The 20,903-nt window shown below is 45.3% G+C and overlaps 1 protein-coding gene across 12 annotated transcripts in view, besides 3 other annotated features; it reads right to left on the reverse strand.

Moving 5' to 3' along the window:
• Nucleotides 1-20,903, reverse strand: part of POMT2 (protein O-mannosyltransferase 2) — a 45,928-nt gene that overhangs the window by 11,305 nt on the left and 13,720 nt on the right. For 4 of the 12 annotated variants that reach the window (XM_047431314.1, XM_047431313.1, XM_047431312.1 and 1 more), the window contains 11 exons: nucleotides 20,077-20,181; nucleotides 18,432-18,540; nucleotides 16,575-16,683; nucleotides 14,830-14,989; nucleotides 13,195-13,301; nucleotides 12,429-12,511; nucleotides 9,904-10,013; nucleotides 5,054-5,120; nucleotides 2,502-2,571; nucleotides 973-1,011; nucleotides 484-562 (listed from right to left, as the gene is read on the reverse strand). In XM_047431314.1, the coding sequence (XP_047287270.1) occupies nucleotides 484-562; nucleotides 973-1,011; nucleotides 2,502-2,571; nucleotides 5,054-5,120; nucleotides 9,904-10,013; nucleotides 12,429-12,511; nucleotides 13,195-13,301; nucleotides 14,830-14,989; nucleotides 16,575-16,683; nucleotides 18,432-18,540; nucleotides 20,077-20,181 (1,038 nt within the window). Of the gene's footprint in view, nucleotides 1-483; nucleotides 563-972; nucleotides 1,012-2,501; nucleotides 2,572-5,053; nucleotides 5,121-9,903; nucleotides 10,014-12,428; nucleotides 12,512-13,194; nucleotides 13,302-14,829; nucleotides 14,990-16,574; nucleotides 16,684-18,431; nucleotides 18,541-19,985; nucleotides 20,182-20,903 lie in introns of those variants that run through there. The other 8 variants (NM_013382.7, XM_011536675.3, XM_047431320.1 and 5 more) reach the window with 5 other exon arrangements.
• Nucleotides 14,932-14,991: a silencer, noted in NCBI's record as "silent region_5968". NCBI's record gives its function as "represses an Ori minimal core promoter by ATAC-STARR-seq in GM12878 lymphoblastoid cells {active_cell/tissue: GM12878}" and the evidence as "EXISTENCE:reporter gene assay evidence [ECO:0000049][PMID:35858748]".
• Nucleotides 16,738-17,239: an enhancer, noted in NCBI's record as "H3K27ac hESC enhancer chr14:77769341-77769842 (GRCh37/hg19 assembly coordinates)". NCBI's record gives its function as "activates a minimal SCP1, AML or CMV promoter by ChIP-STARR-seq in primed H9 embryonic stem cells {active_cell/tissue: H9 hESC(primed)}" and the evidence as "EXISTENCE:reporter gene assay evidence [ECO:0000049][PMID:30033119]".
• Nucleotides 17,240-17,739: an enhancer, noted in NCBI's record as "H3K27ac hESC enhancer chr14:77769843-77770342 (GRCh37/hg19 assembly coordinates)". NCBI's record gives its function as "activates a minimal SCP1, AML or CMV promoter by ChIP-STARR-seq in naive and primed H9 embryonic stem cells {active_cell/tissue: H9 hESC(naive and primed)}" and the evidence as "EXISTENCE:reporter gene assay evidence [ECO:0000049][PMID:30033119]".

The raw sequence follows: 20,903 nt of genomic DNA on the forward strand, positions 1-20,903 counted from the left end.
CATAGAGCTTTTATTTATTAGCTGCATCTCCTTGAGGTAGTAAAATACAAAAGCTATGGATAATATCCCTCTGCAGAACAGGGAAATGATACTTAAAAATAAAGCTAATGAGAATTTGGGATCTGGCAAAAGATAAACATACATGTTGTTCATCTGGGGTCATATTGTGGGTCCTTGGCTTCTATGTCCAATGTGATTTTAAAAGAGATCCAAATAGTATTCATATTTGACATTTATTAAGTATCAGAGCATGTAAATGGCATGGTTATTATGTGAGGAGAGAGATGGAGACAAACAGACTTCATAGGCTGCTTTTCCCAGAGCAGGCCTAGCCAAAAAGTGCCCAAATGTTAAGAGAGTCCCTGTGCAGCCTCTTATCCTCAGGAACATTCCAGAATTCTGGGGAGGAGATATCCCACCACACAGCCCTGAGCCAAGGCCCATAACTTTTACGTCCTACTCACATCCCCGTTGCTTACTTACTATGCCATAGCCGGTGACCTGATAGTGCTTCCGGGTCATGGGGGCCTCATGATAGTGACTGTGCAAGTTCCGGGAAGTTCTAGAAGTTAGAAAAGAGAAGTGTCATTATCCTATAGAAAGATGATGTGCAACATTTCTTCTTTTACCAAGGATGTTCAGAGTCAACTGTCAGGATAAGAAAAATTAGAATCTGAACTATTAAATCCAACATATCAGGAACTGGTTTCCTATTTACTCACAAGAAATATCCTGAGAACTGGAGAAGAGATGAGCCCAAACCAGGAGAGACAGATGGTAGGAGCACTGGACGGCATGCCAAGAAAGGGGCTAACTTTAGGTGCTGGCAGGGAGGTGGGGGGCGACTTTCACACATTTAGTAGCTTTGAAGCACTTAGCTTGCCTGACTTAGGAGGCAGGTTTGAGGAGAGGAAAAATTAAAACTTGTAATCTGCATGGCCTGAGCTAGGTAACCTCCTCACTGCCACTTACTCTTTCTGCTCCCATCGCCAGATTTTTTTAAGTGGACATCTGTGGAGGATGAGAGGGGTTTAATTTAGCTTTTATTTAGTTTTATATAACAACTCTCACTTTTATCTGGAACAAATAATAAATGTTCATTATAAAATTTCTGAAAATTTGCAAAAGTAAAATTTAATTACAATAAATTTTTATTAATGACAAATGAAATTTATTTAATAAAATAAAAATTTTAAGTATTCAAAATCCAGCTGACTCAAAAAAAAACCATAGCTAATTGCTTCTCTCTCTGTCTCTGTCTCTCTCTCTCTCTCTCTCTCTCTCTATATATATATATATATACCCACACACATACACACCTCTGATTTTTAAAAATTTGTATCCGATAATTCCAGTCTATGAAATGTTTACGGGGCTGCTCCTGCTGTCTGTCGTTTCAGCTTGTTCTTGCACACAGTGCCCTATTTCCTTGTGTGCTTTGTTACTTTTGGGTGTGTACTATTGTCACTAAAAAACTATGGGAACAAATGACAACGACTTTCCCCAAAGAGGGCTTACATTTGCTTTTAGCCATGCACCTAGGAGACACGACCAATCTAGGATCATGTTCATTTAAATTCATGTCTTGGAGATTCTGAGATCACCCAGGCAACATGAATTTGAGCTCCAAGTTCATGTGAGGATCAAATGGTAGTTCCAACTTCTCAGGAACTAAGGACAGTTCACCACCCAACCCCCAACACTTAGCTGGGTCCTAAAGTGGACCTGGGCATAAGTGGATAGGGCAGATTTACCCTTACCCCAAGCCTTTGGGGGTTCCAAATATGGGGAAGGATAACTTAATAAATTTACCACTTTGGGTGAGCCTAGGTTTGACTTTAAAACCTCTTCTCTCAAGAGACAGCCAAAAGTCAAGATTGTGGGATCAAAGCAAAAGTGGCTTCAGTGTCTCACTTATTTCTCTGGATTCCTCATTTCACTTAGGCTTTGGCCTGGTAACTCTTTAATATCTTGTCAGCCTTTTTATGCTCTTAAGAAGTCTTTATATTATTCCAGCATTTTTAGTCATTTTCAGTGAGAACACTGGTTAAATAAGCTAGCTTGCCATATTCTCAGAAACAGACTCCTACGTCTTTCTAAAGGCAGCCACTTAAGAAGAAGCTTTGGGAGCTGGGTGTGATGGCTCATGCCTGTAATAGCAACCATTTGGGAGGCTGAAGCGGGAGGATCGCTTGAGCCCAGGACTCTGAGGCCAGCCTGGGTAACATAGTGAGACTCTGTCTCAAAAAAAAACAGCAGCAGCAGCTTTCAGCAACTCAAATTTTCCTCTAGGAAATGGGAAATTGAAAGGTCCCCAGAAGGCAGGCAAAGGCTGGCCTGCAATTTCATCACCTTCATAAAATGCTTCTCCCATTCTCGCACTGTGGCCTTGCTCCATTGACCAGAGCCTCATCAAAATCTAACTTCTGTTTACTTCTTAAAATAACTCCCTCCCCTTGGTGCCCGTACCATTTATTTATCCAAACTGCAAATTGACTTACTCTTTGTGTTCTAGTCGAATAATGTCTCCATGTCTTACAAACTCCACTGGGAAGGAAGGGTCTAGGGGATCTGCCAAAAAGAAACAAGCATTGATATCCAAAATCACTCACCAGGCTAGTATTAATCAAGGGCCTACTGGTAAACAGTTATAGTACCATGTGGTATCTGCTAGAGGTACTAACCAGGTACTCTGAGACCAAAGAGGAAAGACCCCTAAATTGCTTCAGGGTATTAGAGAAGGGTGTCCCAGAGATAATGCTCGAAAAGACTCTTAAGGGAAAGGGAGAATTTTGTCAGGTGAACAAGCAGGAGAAAGGCACTAGAAGTGTGAAAGAAGAAAACTTCTGGCCGGGCACAGTGGCTCACGCCTGTAATCCTAGCCCTTTGGGAGACCGAGGCGGGCAGAACACCTGAGGCCAGGAATTCGAGACAAGCCTGGCCAACATGGTGAAACCCCATCTCTACTAAAAATACAAATAATAGCCGGGCGTGGTGGTGCACGCCTGTAGTCCCAGCTACTCGAGAGGCTGAGGCAGGAGAATCGCTTGAACCCGGGAGGCGGAGGTTGCAGTAAGCCGAGATTGCGCCACTGCATTCCAGCCTGGGTGACAGAGCAAGACTCTGTCTCCAAAAAAAAAGAAGAAGAAAAACTCCTTCGATGAATAGCAAATGGGTTTCATACTGTAAGGGTGGGTGGGGTGGGGGAGAGTGGGAACAGATGAGGCTATGAACGAGTGTGGCCAGACTGCATATTCCAGGCTGGAATGTGGCCTTTACCCGATGAGGCACTGAAGCCCCCACTGGAGCTTAAGCTGGGAAGCTAAATAGTAAGACTTTAGTAGTAATAACAGCCTTCTAAAAAGTAATTCCATACAAATGACCACTTGCCCAACTCTCCTCAAAATCAAATAAACCCTGACAATCTTGCCAGCGAGTATCTTGTCTCTGGCAATAAACTTGCTAAATGTGAGGTGAATAATGATGAAATGATTAAAGGACTACTTCTGTATCATCTCAAAATCAAGACCAATCAGGATCTAGAAAGGTGATGACATGGAAAAGGAGCTGGCAGTAATCATAGCAACACAGAATGGATCCTTGCAAATTTCTGTCCCAAACAGTGAGATACCAACACACTATAAATTGATCAAGGTCAGGAAAGATAAATTTGCCAGTGCAAATCACTGGCTCTCAAGAGAATCAGAGAACTCAACCGCAGAGACACCCATTTCCATGCTGCCTGTTAGGGTCTCTTAAAAGCATTAATTAGCAAGATGACAAATCAACTAAGTCAATAGGGAGGGAGGTTTTATTTCATATGCATTTGGTGGGGAGGGGCATTTATAGCCTTCAAGAACACAAAGACCCTAGTCTATAAAGCTCCCACAAAATCCTTAATCACTTCGATGAAATGCAACCATCTTAACTCAGAAGTCACAATGGAATAACAGACTAGGAATGTTCAAAGACTTGGTTCATGACCACATGACGGAAGTAAAACTGGTCTTCCCTCGTAACTCCTCACTGTGATAGAACACTCACGTTTGGCCTGCTGAATCAATCAATATCCATTATAAAAGTATAGAAACAGACTCTGCCCAATGGTGTCGTAATTTATCCCACTAAGGAGCAGGATGTAGAAAGTGGTTGTATACGCCACGTTTCTAGCCTACACAGCAATAAGAGGAGGTGGATTTAGGTGAGCAGCTGCCCATTTCTCTACAAAGGCCTAGGAGCAGCTGAGCTGGGATAGGCTAAGCCAGGTGGGATTTGCTGAGGAGTCACAGAGATACCTGTGGCACAGGACTGTCAGCAGAGATGACAGGCTCGGAAGGTGAGTGGAAGATGCCCTCTGTTCTCTTAGCTGCAGCAGAGGCACAGCCTGCAGGTAGCTAGCTGTCTGACCAAAGAAAGGAAGATCTGGCTCTAGCTCTTGCTCTGTCATAAAGCCCTGAGAGCCTGATAGGTGTGCTTCAGAGCGCCTTCACCCAGGCCAGTTAGAAGCAGATCAGCAGGCATCGAGTCACATCTCAGGAATTAGCCTAGACAAATTCCAGTCACAGGACTAGTAGCCCCTCAGATCAACTGACTGACTCAGGCCAGGGCTGAGCAGTGGGCAGGATTCTATCTTATCAAGACGACTTAAGCTGCACCACATGCTAGAGTGTGCAATGTTTGGTGTGCTCTATGTAAGAAATGAGAGCAGCAGCCAGGTGCCCTCAGCTGGGGCCACTCACCAGCCCCTAGTGGCATGCTCAAGTAACCTCTACTTAGATTAAATCTGGGCTCCGCTATCTGTCTTCAAAATGACAGCTCTAAGAGCAAGTTCTTACCTGTTTTGCTCAATGCTTATCCCCTATGCCAACAACAGTGCTTGGAACACAGTAGGTGCTTAATAAATAATAATTGAAAGGATAATTGAGATAAGTAAAGGTGTCAAAGATGCTCAGCAAAGCCCATCTCAGGATCATTCTTTTGCAGGCATGAGAAATCTTAAGGAGGGCTCAGAGGGAGTAACAGCACAAGAAGCATCAGTCTCTGACCACATTACCTGAGTTTGTGTTATGTTTCTTGATAATCCACAGGTTGTTGTAGTCCTTGTGCAAATAGGTGGTGACCTGGGTGGGGGGTGGGGGCGGAGGGAAGAGGAAGCAGGAGGGAGAATACCATCACTATCAGCACAGCTGGCCAAGGACAATCAACCTCAAACCAATGTTGCTTAAGCCAATTTCAGAATCCCCAGCCACCAACCTGAGGGGCCATGTTTCCCAATGGGGCTCATATGTAGCACTGGTGAGTGAGATTCTCTCCTTCCTTCTGCATTTAGAAGCTTTGTCCCACAAGAGCCTTTTTGTTTCTTTGTATCTTTCTGCATCTTGTCCTAAAAGTTCCATCCAGCCTTCTAGAGGGAGGAACCATGAGGCCTTATATAACTGACTCCAACACAAAAACAGAATGAGGATTTAAGTGCATTTTCAAAGTAATTAAGGCCGGGTGTGGTGGCTCATGCCTGTAATCCCAGCACTTTGGGAAGCCAGAGTGGGCGGATCACCTGAGGTCAGGAGTTTGAGATCAGCCTGGCCAACACGGTGAAACCCCGTCTTTACTAAAAATACAAAAATTAGCCGGGCATGGTACGCGCCTGTAATCCCAACTACTCAGGAGGCTAAGGCAGGAGAATCGCTTGAACCTAGGAGGCAGAGGTTGCAGTGAGCTGAGATCGCGCCACTGCACTACAGCCTGGGCAACAGAGCAAGACTCTATCTTGGGAAAAAAAAAAGTAATTAAGATCATGCCTCAAACTTTCTAAATGAAAAATTCATGCTATTATATTTTCTATAATGTGGCCAAATGAAACGAAAAAGCTCCACAGATATCCTGTCCTAGAATTTAACTCACGTTTTATACAAAAAATCTGGAAACAGTATGACTGTCTAGTAATAGAAAAATAGTTAACATGATAGTATGTCCTGGGATAGAATATTATACAGCCATAAAAAATGTTTCAGAGCATTTTTTTAGCAACATGGGAAAAGGCTCATGAAATGCTGATGCTGAAAATGGCTACCATTTATTACCAGGCACTGTTCTAAGCATTGGGCAAGTCTTATCTCATTTAACCATTATTACAGCTCTATGCCATAGGTACTATGGTTATCCCCACATTACTTACAAGGAAACTGAAGTTAAGTAATTTGCTCAAGGTCACACAGCTTATGCGTTGGGGAGACAGAATTCAAACCAGGGCCGCAAAATAAATGCTCCCAGGATAGAGACTATATACGTCCAATTATGCCAATTATGTAGACAAGTAGAGAACTCTCACAAATGAGTTTTTATAACCCCAATTGGATAAAATATGACCAATTTATAGTCATATGCCACATAAAGACATTTTGGTCAACAACAAACTGCATATATAATGGTTGCCCCATAAGATTATAATACCATATTTTTACTATACCATTTCCATGTTTAGATATGTTTAAGTTAATACAAATACTTACCATTGTGTTCCACTGTGTTCCAACTGCCTGCAGTATTCAGTACAGTAACATGCTATACAGGTTTGTAGTCTAGGAGCAATCAGCTATACCATGTAGCTTAGGTGTGTGGTAGGCTGGACCACCTAGGTTTGTGTAAGTACATACTATGATGTTCACCCAACGATCAAATCACCTAATGACCTGTTTCTCAGAAGGTATCCCCCCGATGCATGACTGTACTTACAAAGAGATTTAGAATTAGCATTTAGGGGAAAAATTATTTTGCTTGCATTATGGCTGCTTCTTTTGAGTGGTATTTGCTTTGTTCCTCAGGAAAAAAAAATTAGGGATAATGTTATTAAGAATATACAAGAAGCTAAAAAGTTTTGGTGCTCATAAAGAAATTAAAATGAAGTCTACATTCCTGAGAAAAAGCTCGATATCGTCCATCCAGCCTGGATTTGCTCAAGGAAGTTAAGGTTCTATGATGCTCGTGTGTGTACTCTGTGTAGATGTGTGGTAGGAGAGCAGTCTTTGTGTGTCTGTTTTACAAGAGCAATTATGATTAAAATTCCTACAAGAAAAATTATTTATTTATCATGAGTACAGTCCATGGCCCCTTTTCCCACTGAAATGTTTGTTTTGACAATGGAGATTTTTATACCATGAGATTTCCTAAGAACACAAGTATCCAATTATAGCAGAATGTTGTACATTAAAACATTCAGATAAACACTTAATCTTCTGGGATTACATGTAGCTTTTGTTTTCTTTTTTATACTTTTCTACATTTTCCAATTTTATAAATGCTATGCTTTAAAAACATTCTAAAATAGAGACCTAGACATGTTAACAAGACATTAAACTGCATGGCAGGAAGGGCCACTGGAGATTATTTAGTCCAATCCCCTCAATTTACAGATGAGGAAACAGGATGAAAGGCTAAAAGATCTGGTCAATGACAAAGCCAGACACTTTCGTCCCTTGGCGCAATGCACTTTCCCTATACCACCATCACGTTTCACACCTCCACACATGGGCTCTACGTACATAACACTAGCTTAACAGAGCCTTTCAGAGTTTGGCCTTTCTCTCCCTTTGCACAGTGTAGATGTTCTGGTCACCAGGTCTGTAACTGTAGTGTCTTCTACATGACACCTGCAGCAATTTATCAACACATGAGAACACAGAACATCTAGTTTTCTCTGCCCTGGGTGTACATGACTTAGAATAATTTGGACAGCTTAAAACCAAACCAAAAATGCATAATGCATGGGCCTCATCCTAGATCAATTAAATCATAATCTCTGCAGTGGAGTCCAGGCATCAGAATTTTTAAAAATCTCTCCGTTGATTCTAAGTGCAGCCAGGGCTGAAAACCACTGGGCCAGACATGAATGGAGAATTAAGGATAAGAAACTGATACTAAAATCCAATACCCTGTAATATGGTTTGGCTTTATGTCCCCACCCAATTCTCATCTTGTGGCTCCTCTAATTCCCACGTGTTGTGGGAGGGACCCGGTGGGAGATGATTGAGTCACGAGTGAATGGGTCTCACAAGATCTGATGGTTTTATTTTTTTATTTTTTGAGATGGAGTCTCACTCTTTTGCCTGGGCTGGAGTACAGTGGCGCAATCTCAGTTCACTGCAACCTCCACCTCCCCGGTTCAAGTGATTCTCCTGCCTCAGTCTCCTGAGTGGCTGGGATTACTGGCACGTGCCATCAAGCCCGAGTAATTTTTTTGTATTTTTAGTAGAGATGGGGTTTCACCATGTTGGCCAGGCTGGTCTCAAACTCCTGACCTAAAGTGATCCGCCCACCTCGGCATAAGCCACCGCACCTGGCCAGAGATCTGATGGTTTTTAAAACCATTTTTAAAATGGGATTTTCTCTGCACAAGCTCTCTCTTTGCCTGCCGCCATCCACATAAAATGTGACTTGCTCCTCCTTGCCTTCCACCGGGGTTGTGAGGCCTCCCCAGCCATGTGGAACTTTAAGTCCAATTAAATCTCTTTCTTTTGTAAATTGCCCAGTCTCAGGTATGTCTTTATCAGCAGCATGAAATTGCACTAATACATACTGAGTCACTTTCTAGCAACTAAAAGGGAAATAAAAATAAAGCATTTGGAGAGAGACAACTTTTTGCAAAGAACAAATCTTTGCAAAGTAAAGATTCCATGCTTTTTGCCTCTGTTCACTGTCCTTTGTCATAATTATTGCCTCCAAACTGGTTCCTTGTGAGCTATCACATTTCCACTAAAGTTACCTTTCTAAACTAGAGATCTAATCATAATCATAATAATTTTGATTGCCTCCCTAATGTCTATGGAGCAAAGTCAAATCTACTATAACACAGGCCTCTCCCCAATATGGCCCCACCAACCTCTTCAGCATCCTGCTTCTCCCTCTCAGGCACCATCCACTGCAGCCACACAAACACTCCTTAACATGGACACAGCATCGTTCACTCATTCAGATGATACTCACATGGCTAATCTTTCATAAGCACTTCACATTGTTATCTCATTTAATCCTCACAACTGCCCTTTGATGGAGAGAGGTACTACTCATTTTCCCCAACTTAAAGAGGAGGATACAGGCTGGGCGCGGTGGCTCATGCCTGTAATCCCAGCACTTTGGGAGGCCGAGGCAGGTGGATCATGAGGTCAGGAGATCGAGACTATCCTGGCTAACACGGTGAAACCCTGTCTCTACTAAAAATACGAAAAATTAGCCAGGCGTGGTGGCGGGTGCCTGTAGTCCCAGCTACTCGGGAGGCTGAGGCAGGAGAATGGCGTGAACCCGGGAGGCGGAGTTTGCAGTAAGCTGAGATCACGCCACTGCACTCCAGCCTGGGTGACAGAGCAAGACTCCATCTCAAAAAAAAAAAAAAAAAAAAGAAGAGGATACTGAAGCACAAGAAGATGAACTTGTCCAAAGTGACACTCTATATGAAAGCAGGCTTCACACCCCGATCATCTAGTCTGGTTCCCAGGTCTGTGTTCATAAATACCACACTTTATTCATCACCCATCCCATAGCAGGCACCGTGCTAGGCAATTGAGCCTTCCAGGAGCTAGCAATCAAGTACCAAAGAGACGGCGGGAAGTAAGCATGCACAGTTCAATATGAGAAGGTTTACCACGTAGGCATGTGGAAGGTGCCACCAAGCCTCTCATCAGAGGGGCACCCCACCCAGCACCATGGAGAGGTGGGACATGGTTGTCACTAAAGAACACCTATGCTGATGCCTAGAGAAGCTGGGGTTAGCCAGAGAAAACAGAAGGGTGCAGGGCTAGGAAGAATGTTTCAAGCAGGGCGAACAGGATGAGCAAAGGATAGGAGGCAAGAGAGTGAACTGTCATGGCGAACAGCATTGCTGCCGTACAAGTGCACAAAAGGCTCACTGACCTGCTGCTGACGGGCACCAATGCCCTCGGGGTAGAGGTGCCTGTGGGAGTGCAGATAGCCGATGGCCATCCGGAGGTTCTTCACAGTGATCACAGAGCCGTAGGCCAGGTCTGGGAGGAAGGGAGACAGCAGAGGGGTGAGCTGGCACAGTGCCAGAGGCTGTCCGTGCCTGCGAGGAGCCTCGGAAGCCACAGGGCTCACTAACCCTCTGCGAGACTCCCCTGGGCCCTGGACTGAAGCCCAGCTACCTTCTCACTCCCATGGAGCCGACTCAAGACAGAGTTCACCACAGGGCCCACTTACTCCCCCGCCTCCTGAGGGCTTCAGAAGAAGCTTGTGTTAACACTGTCATTATCAAAGCACTACGTGTAACAGCAAAAGACGAAAAACAACTTGTCCTTCTCAAGGTCTCCACATGGATTCAATGGAATAAAGAAGGAAGTATCTTCTGTCTTCGCCTGGAATGTTCTCCAAGATACAGCATTTTGACAAACCATTTTTTTCACTCTATATCCTTTCGTGCCTTTTGAATCTAGTACCATATGAAATAACTGTTCAATGGTGTTTTGTTTTACTCTGAATTAAAAAACAAAAAACACAGAAAACCACTTCTCAAGAGCATCCCCTGCTCCTATAGGCCCTGAGTTATTGAGAAACCTTTTTTCCTTAATACTGTCCTTCTTCCAATCCGCTGGAATGACCTGCTCCTGTTTTTCTTTGTTCATTCAGTGGACCAGAAGAATTACACACTGGATCCAAAGGTGGAGGAGGCCTGCCTGTGGCCCTGGAAGAGCCCTGTCTACAAGGAAGATGGCTTCACACACTGACAAGTATAGGACAGTGGGCAAGTGCCCCACAAAGGCGTGACAATGTGTGACATGGTGGGAATGGTGGGAACTCGGAACAGGCCAAATTCTCTCCCAAGGATTAAAGAGAGGACGACTTGATCGAAGAGGTGACAGCTGAACTAGGCCTTTAAATAATGAGCAGGAATTTGCTAAACTCCACAGCTGTGTTCTTCTGAGTTCTCAGGCAGGCCAACCTCGGCAGCCCTGCACATGGCTGACCACCTTTATTTCTTGAAATGCTCTCTGTTCCCACTTCTCGACCGCACACTCTCTCAAGGGCTGCTCCTCCGCAGTCTCCTCTCCTAATTCCTCCTCCTCTTGCATTCCCCAGTGATCTGACCTCAGCTCTATTCTTTTCCTCTTTCTACAGTTTCCTTACAAATCACAGCTACTGCCACAGCATCAATTACCGTTTTACTTGTCTGATTCCTCCTTTGAAAGCATCAGCCCCAAATCCCACTGGCCCCATGGCAACAATTTCCCCAAGCAGCTCACTATCAACCCCTCTCGCGTGGAATTCAGTATCTGCCCTTCCAACCCAACTTCTTCTCCTGCTTCCCTATTTCTCATTCTTCCCAGTCTGGGAGAGTCCGCTGTATTTTAGGCACTGTGCAAAGTCCTGGAAAGACTAAAATGAGTAAGATGCAGTCTCTGCCTCCAGGAAGCAATCACCTGCACTCAAGTCCTTAGTGACATCTTTCTTCCTCTCTTGCTGTGTCCAGATCTCCCTTGTATATGCCCATTTGCCTTACCCTGTGGCTGCCCCACCATACCCAGCTCAGGTTCCTGCAATAGCTTCCCAGAGGGTTTCTCTTGCCTACAATCCTGTCCCCTCCCCAGCCAGCCTCGACTCTCCCACCCATGTCATCTCCCTATAGCACAGCCTTCCTGGCCTCCTGGCTGCTCAAAGACCTCCACTAGGTCTCCACGGCCTGTTTTAGGAAGTCAAATACCTCATCCAGACACCTCAAACCCTCATAGTCTGGGCCCAACCTAACTTTTCACATTTATCTTCCAGTAGTTTTCTGCATATACCTGTGCCTCAAGTTTTACTCTGTCCTCAGCTTTGATCATGTCATCCCTCCTGCCTGAGATGCCCTCTCCTCTGTTGAAAGCCACACATTCTTCCAGGGCCTGACTCCAAGGCAACCCACATCACGAACCTCTGATGCCCTTAACCGCCCAGCAGCCATGCTCCTTCACGCCTGTCAATCCCCAGAGCTGTGCTCCCTCTTTACGTACTTAACGCTTCCAGCCACACCGTGTGGAGCTCCTCTACACCAGGCTCCATCTCTGGAGGGTGAGCACGCGCTCCACTACCATCTGTCATAGATGAACGAATGCAACACTCAGAAAGCGGTGCGGGAAACCAAAAACTGGCTCTGAAGGGCCTGGTGCTGTCACCATATTCTCTCTGAGTGACCTTCCCACAGAGCTGGCTTGGAGAGCCACCAAGGAGAAGTCATTCTTTAGGGTCAGAGAGCTTGCTGCTCAGGATGTCTTCCTCTCCTCTGTCCTGATTCACTCTCGAGTATTTTCACCAGATCTATCTGGGTCTTTCTCCCACCGTGCCATCACAGGCTAAAATAACCCAAAGCCATCATATTTGTCTTTTCCAATTCAACTCCCAGGACACCCCTCTGCCTTCTACCTTTGTAATGGCCCAGAGACACTCACGTTCAGGGATGGAAGCATTGTGCAGGTTGTTCCCTGAAAGCCGGGCCTGGAAGGCAGAACTGAAGAAACCGTCACCAGGGCCACTGTGGGGAGAGGAAGAGCAGAAGAGAGTCAAGTTAAAGGAGTGAAAGTGTGATTTCCCAGGAGCGCTGGGAAGAGCTCTGCTCAGATAGTTTAAGGAAAGTAGAATCAGATCATGGGACAGAGGTGGGTGATGGAGTTGGAGAAACTGGGGTCCAAATCCCAACTCAGCCACTTACTAGCTGTGCGACCTTGGGCAAGATAACCTTGTTTAGCCTTAGTTCCTCATTTATAAACTAGAGATTTAAAGAAACCAAGAGAAGTCACAAGTGATTCTGATTAAATGAGATAATGTGTACAAAATGCGGAACACAGTTCCTGATTCTCAGTAGCTACTCATTAAGTGGGAGCTGTTGCCGCCGGAGTTACTGTTATTGTTACACTCACTCCTACTGCACATCTTATTGTGGCCTATCCTTGCTAAGTACAGGGGACTCTGTTTAGAGATAAGGGACAATTTGGCTATAACGAAAATAGCTTCTTCCTTCAGGTTAGGGTGCTGGCCTTTCTGAGCCCTTAGCATATACCCAAAGGATAGAACATAGCAGGAAAGAAACAGGAAAAAGCCCCTGGGGTCCCTCACCTATCATTTTAACCACAGACCCAGAAAATCATCCGACCCCTCCACAGGCTTAGGAGCAAAAGGAAAACCAGAAGCAAGATGCTGCAAAGGCTCTGTCTGTACCTTTTACTCAGCACCATGAAGTGAACAGCAAAGGTGGCTGTATAGAGAGCCAGGGGCAGCACTATGAGGCACAGGACACGAGCAGTCAGGTGTTTTCCCACAGTCACCTGCAAACAGAGGCCAGCGTGGGGTGCTAGGCATGTGAGACCTCATTATTCCTTAGGCACTATGCATGCATTATATATAGCTTTTAATATATCAGTCATAATCATAAAAAATGGCCAAGAGGAGAGAGAAGAATATGTGGAAACCCTAAGCCTTTCTGTAACACCCACCACCCAAGCACTACACAAGATAAACATGGGCCAGCCCTCTGCTACCTCTCCAGGCTCTACACCCAAAACCCCAGGATGTTACTGTGCCAAGGACAAGGCACCTGCATCTGCAACACAGTTGCTCACCAGTCCGCTCCATGTTCCAGGTACACTAACCTCCTTGAACTTTCCCAGTGCTTCCTCTACTGTCCCAGCCCAACCCATCACATGGCTAATGGCTCCTTATCTTAACTTCGCGGCTTCCTTCCAGAGGCCTTCCTGGATTGCCTGGGACTGGCCGAGTGCCCTTTTCTGTGCTCTCCCAGCACTCCTGGCTGACTGTAACTGCCTGCTTCCTTATTTCTCTCTCTCCATTGACCACAGAGGGTGGGGACCATATTATATTCATCTGTATATTCCAGCACCTCACACACAGTGGCTGGATGATCTTTACACATTTTCTGAATAAATGAATGAATGAATGAATAAACTTGTTAGGAGCTGGTTTGGAGGTGATGGAGCAGCACCACAGCAGAGTGATGGCCTGGGGCCAACCTAACCTGGTTGTGACTCCTAGATACACCTCTCACTCCCCGATGGCCTCGGGGAAGTCATTACCTCTGTAGGTTTTGATTTCCTCATTTGAAAATCAGGGTAATAACTCCCTACCTCATAGGACTATTATGAGGGGTAAATGAGATAATGAAGGTAAAGCGTTTCGCATAGTGCCTGGCATAGAATCAGCCCTTAATAAATAATAAACTGTAAAGGCCCTTACTGGCCTCCAAATATGGAGACCGTGGGTCAGGAAATGAAAATTGTGAGTTCAGACCGGGCTCGGTGGCTCATGCCTGTAATCCCCGCACTTTGGGAGGCCAAGGCGGGCGGATCACTTGAGGTCAGGGGTTTGAGAACAATCTGGCCAACATGGTAGAACCGCATCTCTACTAAAACTACAAAAATTAGCTGGGCATGGTGGTATGTGCCTGTAATCCCAGCTACTTGGGAGGCTGAGGCAAAAGAATCACTCGTACCCAGGAGGCGGAAGTTGCAGTGAGCCAAGATCGGCCCACTGCACTCCAGCCTGGGTAACAGAGTGAAACTCTATCTCAAAAAAAAAAAAAAGACAGACATTATAAAACAAATGCAAAAAGAGACTTCCAAGAATGTTAATCTATCCTCTCCCTTGAACCCTATCCAGTCCTCAGCCGGGCCCACTCCCTGATGTCCTGCTGTCTGCGGAGGTTGGGGGGTCCAGCCCACCTGGGACCCAGAACACAGCCACTCTGCCACCTGCAGTAGAGACAGAGAAGGCCACCAGCTCCTACTCAGCAACATCAGGGAGCAAAAACATTTCCACAGCAAACCCTTGGGTGCTCACCAATGAAAGACTGAGGTCTCCGAACAGGTACCAAAGGTCTGCAATGGTGTTCAGCCCCACTTGAAGGATGATAAAGAGGCCAACAAACTTGACCCCTAAAGCACCAGCAAGACTAACGCCAGTCAGGCTGAGCCAGAACCACCAGGGGGCAGAGAAGGGCCTGAAAATCAACAAGACGGAGTTCAATTTGGCAGCTGGAACCAAAGCCAAACGCAAGCGCAGCAGGGGACAGGGCAGTTCTCAGACTTGGAGCGGCTGTGCTGTGCCCTGTCTTGGGGGCTCTTAGCCTCAAGGGACCATGGCGTGGCTCCATGGAGGAGGCGGCCTGTGAAACCCCTGGAACGGCAGGAAAAGCACTGTCTGAGGGCGCAGGGTATTCTTCAGGGGAGAGTGTCCATAGTGCTCCTGGCTAAGTACAGGGCTCAGGGTAAGTGGGGGCTCCTTCTTCACAAGTGACCAGTCAGGCAGGAGTAAAAGGAGAATCCTTAGGTGCCCCTGGACTCAGGCAGCCCTCTCCTTTGTGTCACCTCTGCCCTTGTCGAAGGCAGCATTTACCGAGTGCTTACTATGTATGCGTCACGCATCATTCCAAGTACGATGCATATATTAACTCTTCTAGCCGTCACTACAGCACACAGAGGATCCTGTCACTAGGTCCTCTTTTTGCACAGGAGGAAATCAAGATACAGAGAGGTGGAGTAATACAGCTAGCAGGCAGTGGGGCACAGTTTTAACCCAGGCAATTGGGTCAATGTTAGTGCTCTTAACCATTTTGCTATTCGTATAGCACCTAGTACTCTACACTATGATTCTCTGGCTCTCTGGCTGCCTCCTCTGCCAGAGTGAATATTCCTTAACAGCCAAGCCCAACAGAGCTCAGTACCTCCAGCTCCCCGCATAGTACCTGGTACACAGTATGTACTCAAGAAATGGTAGATGGAAGTGGATGTGGCATAAGCACAACAACCAAAGCCAGAGTGGGCTGAGAGTCACTGATCAGGTTTGATTAGCACAATGGAGCTTAATGAGCCTGGCTGTGCAAAGTTAACTTCCAGAAAAGCCTACGAGGGGCCAACTCTTCTGGTTTGAATAGAATGAATGACTTATTCTACTTTCTCAGAAGTAGAAGGATGATCTGGAAAAGACTATTCTGCAAGTAGACCGGACCCTCCAAGTCAGCTTTAGAACTGACCAGGACCTGGAAGGATCCTCTTGGCTGGTATGGACCATTCAAGCCAACCTTTACATATGCTATTCCCATCATTAGGTCAGGACTGGATGCAACCACTGACGAAAGGGAGATAGTTTCCAGGCAGCATCTACCCTGGTGCCCTCCCTTCTAGGACAGAGTATGTGAAGGACAGCCCTGTCCCGGGATTTCCTAACCAGCACTGGTTACAAGAGGTGGGTGGGGAAAGTATTAGGACCCCCCATGATATCCCAAAACCCCTACCCAATTGTACTCCATTGTAAACATGATAATAATAATACGCTTGAAAAAGACAACTGACATTTTCTCGGTCTTGAATATGGCAAAAATAAAATCACCTGTAGAAAACTTTTTAAAATCTATTTTTATGATCTAAAATGGACAATCTAAGTTAAAAAAACAAACAAAAAGTATGCTTGCCTTAAAATCAGCTTCAAGACAAGTCTCTGGGCACCCGCCCTGGCCCTGGCCATTACAGAAATTTTGGAGTTGCCACAGCTTCCAACCCTCCCCTCCCGGGGATGGAGTTTCTGACCTGTCGGCGCAAGAGTTGTACTTGACCATGCTCAGCATGGCAGCCATGATGAAGAACATCAGGATGGGGTCAAGGAGGATGTACTGGGACAGAGTGAGGCATCCCGTGTCTGAAAAACATGAGCTCGCTGGTGAAAAAGCGAGGTAAGAGAAGGGCCCCCTGAAAACCAAGCACCCCAGTAGTAGGAAACAGTCCCTCTTGCCACTTAATTGAGTGTAAGCACTTGTGCAGTCAGGACTAGAGTCAACACTGAGTCATCAGGGAGGTAGAAGGCCACAGCTCTGGGAGACATCAAAGCCCAATGACAAGAAGCAGTAACTCACACTGCCTCTAGGCCCTCAACCCAAGAGAGGATCATGTCATTCGCTCCCTCAGACCAGCCCTGAGACAAGGTGTCATCCTCATTTCCACCATCAAAAAGGGAGTCCTACCACTCTGCTCATGTAACCGCAAACTATCTACACCTATGATAGAATCTTATCATTTTACATGAAGTCTCTCTTGGGGGTCGATTCTCCAGACAGATGGCAGAGTGATGTTTTTTAATTTAAATCCTTAAATCTCATTATGTCATGCCCCTGCTTAAACCCTCCAATGTCTTCCAACCTCACTCAAAGTAAAAAGTTCTCATGACAACTGCCAGAGTCTGTGCGGTCTCCCTACCCATCTAACCTCATCTCCCAACACCCTCTGCCTCACTCACTCTGCCCTTTCCACGCCAGCCTTCTTACTGTGATTTGAACCCACAGAGGTCCACACCAGAACTACAGTACATGCACTTCCCTCTGCCTGAATGCTCTTCCCTCAGATCCCTGCAGGGCCTGATCCTTTGTCTCACTCAGGTCTCTGCTCAAAGCTCCCCTCTCAGAAGCTCTTTCCTGACTATCCTGTCTAAAATAGTACTGATCTCCATTATTCCATCCCTTACACTGCTTTATTTTCTACACTGCACTTGTGGCTTAGGACATCACATGACAGACTTATTCATTTACTTGTTTATTTACTGTCTGCCCCACGATGAGGTAAGCTCAATGAGACCAGAGTGACTCATCAGTGTATCCTCTCAGACTAAGAAAAGTGGCCGGGAGCTGGGTAGGTGCTTGAGAAATAACTATTGAATGAAAAGTACATAAATGACTAAATGAATGAATAACTGAAGATGGAAATTCAAGATACAAGGAAAAAGCCACCAGTCCTCTATAGAGAAAGCCAATAATCTTGCAATCTATCTGTCAAAACAAAGCAACATATCTGTCAAAGCAAACCCCTAAAGTACCCCATTTAAATTGGTCTAGACTTCTTTAAATGTTAAGCTCCACAAGGTCATGAATTCACTTTCATAGGAACAAAGCTAGCAACAGGATCAACTTCTACGATGAACTCTCATTTATCCATGTGAAGATTATTATCCAAGTTCCCATTTTGCTATCTCTTGCCACCCAGCTACTTCTGCATTTACCTTTATATTCAGTTGAAATTAGTTAAGGAATGCAAACTAATCTTAACTTAAGAGAAGCAAAATTAGAATTATAAGCTTCCTTCAAAAACACACATACTCACATACAAATCTATCTTATTACCCATTCCAAACTCAACCGTGAATAACGTGGAGGTAAATCTATTCCTTGGGATTACCCACGCCGATTCTCCCCTCCAATAATATAAAGGCTTGTTATATATAACTATTGATATACATTAAGTATTACTAGTGAATGAGATTTGTAGTACATTTTACCCAATCCTAAAATTAATTGAACTGGACCCACATATAGGGCCCTTGAATGTACTGATTTTCAGCTACATTCACGGAGTGGCAGCCCATTTCCCAAAAGCCATGGTATGGCTAAGACAACTTACCAAAGGTGAGGAGGGCAGCTGTGAGCAGTGCTGCCGAGAGGGACTTGGACAGATCCAGTACAGTGAGGTAGGCAAAGGGGACCAGCCAGGAGCCAAGGAATGCACAGAACTGTGGGAGGAATAGAGAAGCTGTCAAATAACAAGCTGAGCTAGGTCAGCGACCTACTGGACTCAGTACAACCTAACATTTAAGACAGGGGACCTGATGAAGGCATGACTTTGGTGACCTAAAGTCACCTAGGATATCTATAACTAAGAAAAGAGTATTGTAATAGTGAAGAGCCAAATCAAGCAATATATATGTTCCCATTAAGCAGCAACTTGTGCACTGACATGAAATCAGCAAGTTCAGCCAGGAAGGTGTGGGTAGGAGACAGGGAGAAAAGCAACCAAGTAGCTACACACCAGGAATAGAGAGAAGGGAAGAAAATGAGTGTTATTAACACACAGATAGTAATTGATAGCCATTAGCTTCTATTACACAACTGTAGGTACAAGTTGAGAAAGACCCCTCTGAAGGTATTTCAGAGAATTTTAAGGAACCCCTAGTTCTTTTCTTCATTTACACCAGAAACCAGTCTTTAATCTACACAATGTATGTATTTTGATTTTGGGAAAAGGGATTGCTTGATACTTCAGTAGCTGGATACCTGTTTGGTTTTTTGTTTTTTTAAGCTGCTGGCCCTCTTCCATCCCCTACCTGTCCATCAAAATAAACAGACAAGCCAGAAGAATGGGAAATTCTCACGTTTGGTTGTCACATCCAATTATGTATGGTATGTGGTGTTCAAAAGTTATTAGGAAGACACAGAATCACTTAAGAACAAGAACTTGAGGGTAGGATATACTCCTTGTTTAATATACCACGATATAGCCATGCAAATCATCTAACGATGAGGCCAAATAAGCACACAGCCATTTATTTAAATGCTGTGAAATCCTCAAGGAAAGGGGCTTGTAAATGCAAACTTCTCTGAGAGGTCCACACTGGAGGTCAGCTTCTGCTGGCTTCATTCAGCCACACGTTCAAGGTTCCCAAAGAGTTGGGTGTTAAGGCCCTGCCATGTTCCATCAAGGCTGGTGCTGTAAATCAGGACACAGAGGGACTGCAGCAGACATTTGGCCTCCCTTCAAATAAGGCTGGAAAACTCTTTCTGTGTGCCTGAAACCTTCATGGGGAAAGACACAGGAACATGGTGACAGGGTGTGGGGATGCCAAAATCTTCAGAAAAGGCTCTGAGATGTAGGCAACACTCCAGCAGCTGTGGCTGTGAGGGGAGGAGCAGGCAGCGTGCCAGTGCATGGAGGCACTGCTGGGGCTGCAGGAGACTCCTGATTGCCCGGGTTCCAGGCTGTTCTCCAACCTGAGGTCTGACAGTATACCGGGGCAGGGCAGCAGGTGACAATGCGTGCCTGCTTCTATCTATGTCATCTCTGTATTATTTGCAGCCTCCTCTTCCCTTCTTCCTCACCTCAGTTCTGAGTATCTACACCACAGGGGAGGGTCTGATCATCCTCCCCTCTCCTCACCACCCAAAGTCCCTTTATTTGCACCTGCCACCACGCCAGGGCTGCTAACTATAACATTTCTGGTTTAGTGTGGCCCCAGGGTTCAGTCAGTCCATTTCAAGTCAGGAAGCCTTACTCCTCTCATTCCCATGTAGCTGTGATGCTCATATTTATCCCCAGGCTTCTGGAACAAAAAGGTACCATCATATCCACTCAGGTAGCCAGCAAGACCTATCAGCATCTGAGGAGAGAAGAACAAACAAAAAGATGAGAAGCCTTTGGGAGAAGATTCCTCTGTCCTCTGAACTTCCCTCCAGCTGCACCCACAGACTTTGGGTTCCCTTGACAACTGTCCATAGAAAATGTTGCCAATGCAACATTTTCTCCTGCAGCTGCCACAGAGCAAAGAATCTTTTGTCTACAGAGCTCACTGCTTGAAACAAATCCTCTCTTGTATTATGGCCGAGGTCTAGGAACAGCACAACCTAAACACTCAGGAAGGAAAAAGAGCCCCACAATTTGAAGGGTAGAGTCAGTAAGGGGCTCTCTGATTCCGCTTTCCTTCAGATGGTATAAAATAAAACACGGCAGCTCTTGGACAGAGGCTGATTCCTGGGGAATTGGCCTTTTGAAAGGAAAGTGAGATTCCAAGTCACAGTGAGAGAGAAAAGAGACCAAGGAGCTACATACCAGGAATAGAGACAAGAGAAGAAAATCAGACAGAGGAATGCAAAGACAGATGCTTTGCCCAGAGGGGAAGAGAAAAACTGCCAAAGGCCAGAGGCTGGTTTCTCCCATTCCTAATATTCCAAAGGAGGGCATCCTTGGTACCTCCCAAGCCAGAACAAATCAATTAGAAACTGAGACTGTGAGTCATGAATCCTTCAAAACCTTTGACAAGATCGGCCGTGTCTTTTGTATATTTCCTTGGCCATCAACATTATAAAATTCTATTTTTCACAC

Source organism: Homo sapiens, chromosome 14 (genome assembly GCF_000001405.40).
Source record: "Homo sapiens chromosome 14, GRCh38.p14 Primary Assembly".
In the NCBI taxonomy this organism is placed as follows: Eukaryota; Metazoa; Chordata; class Mammalia; order Primates; family Hominidae; genus Homo; species Homo sapiens.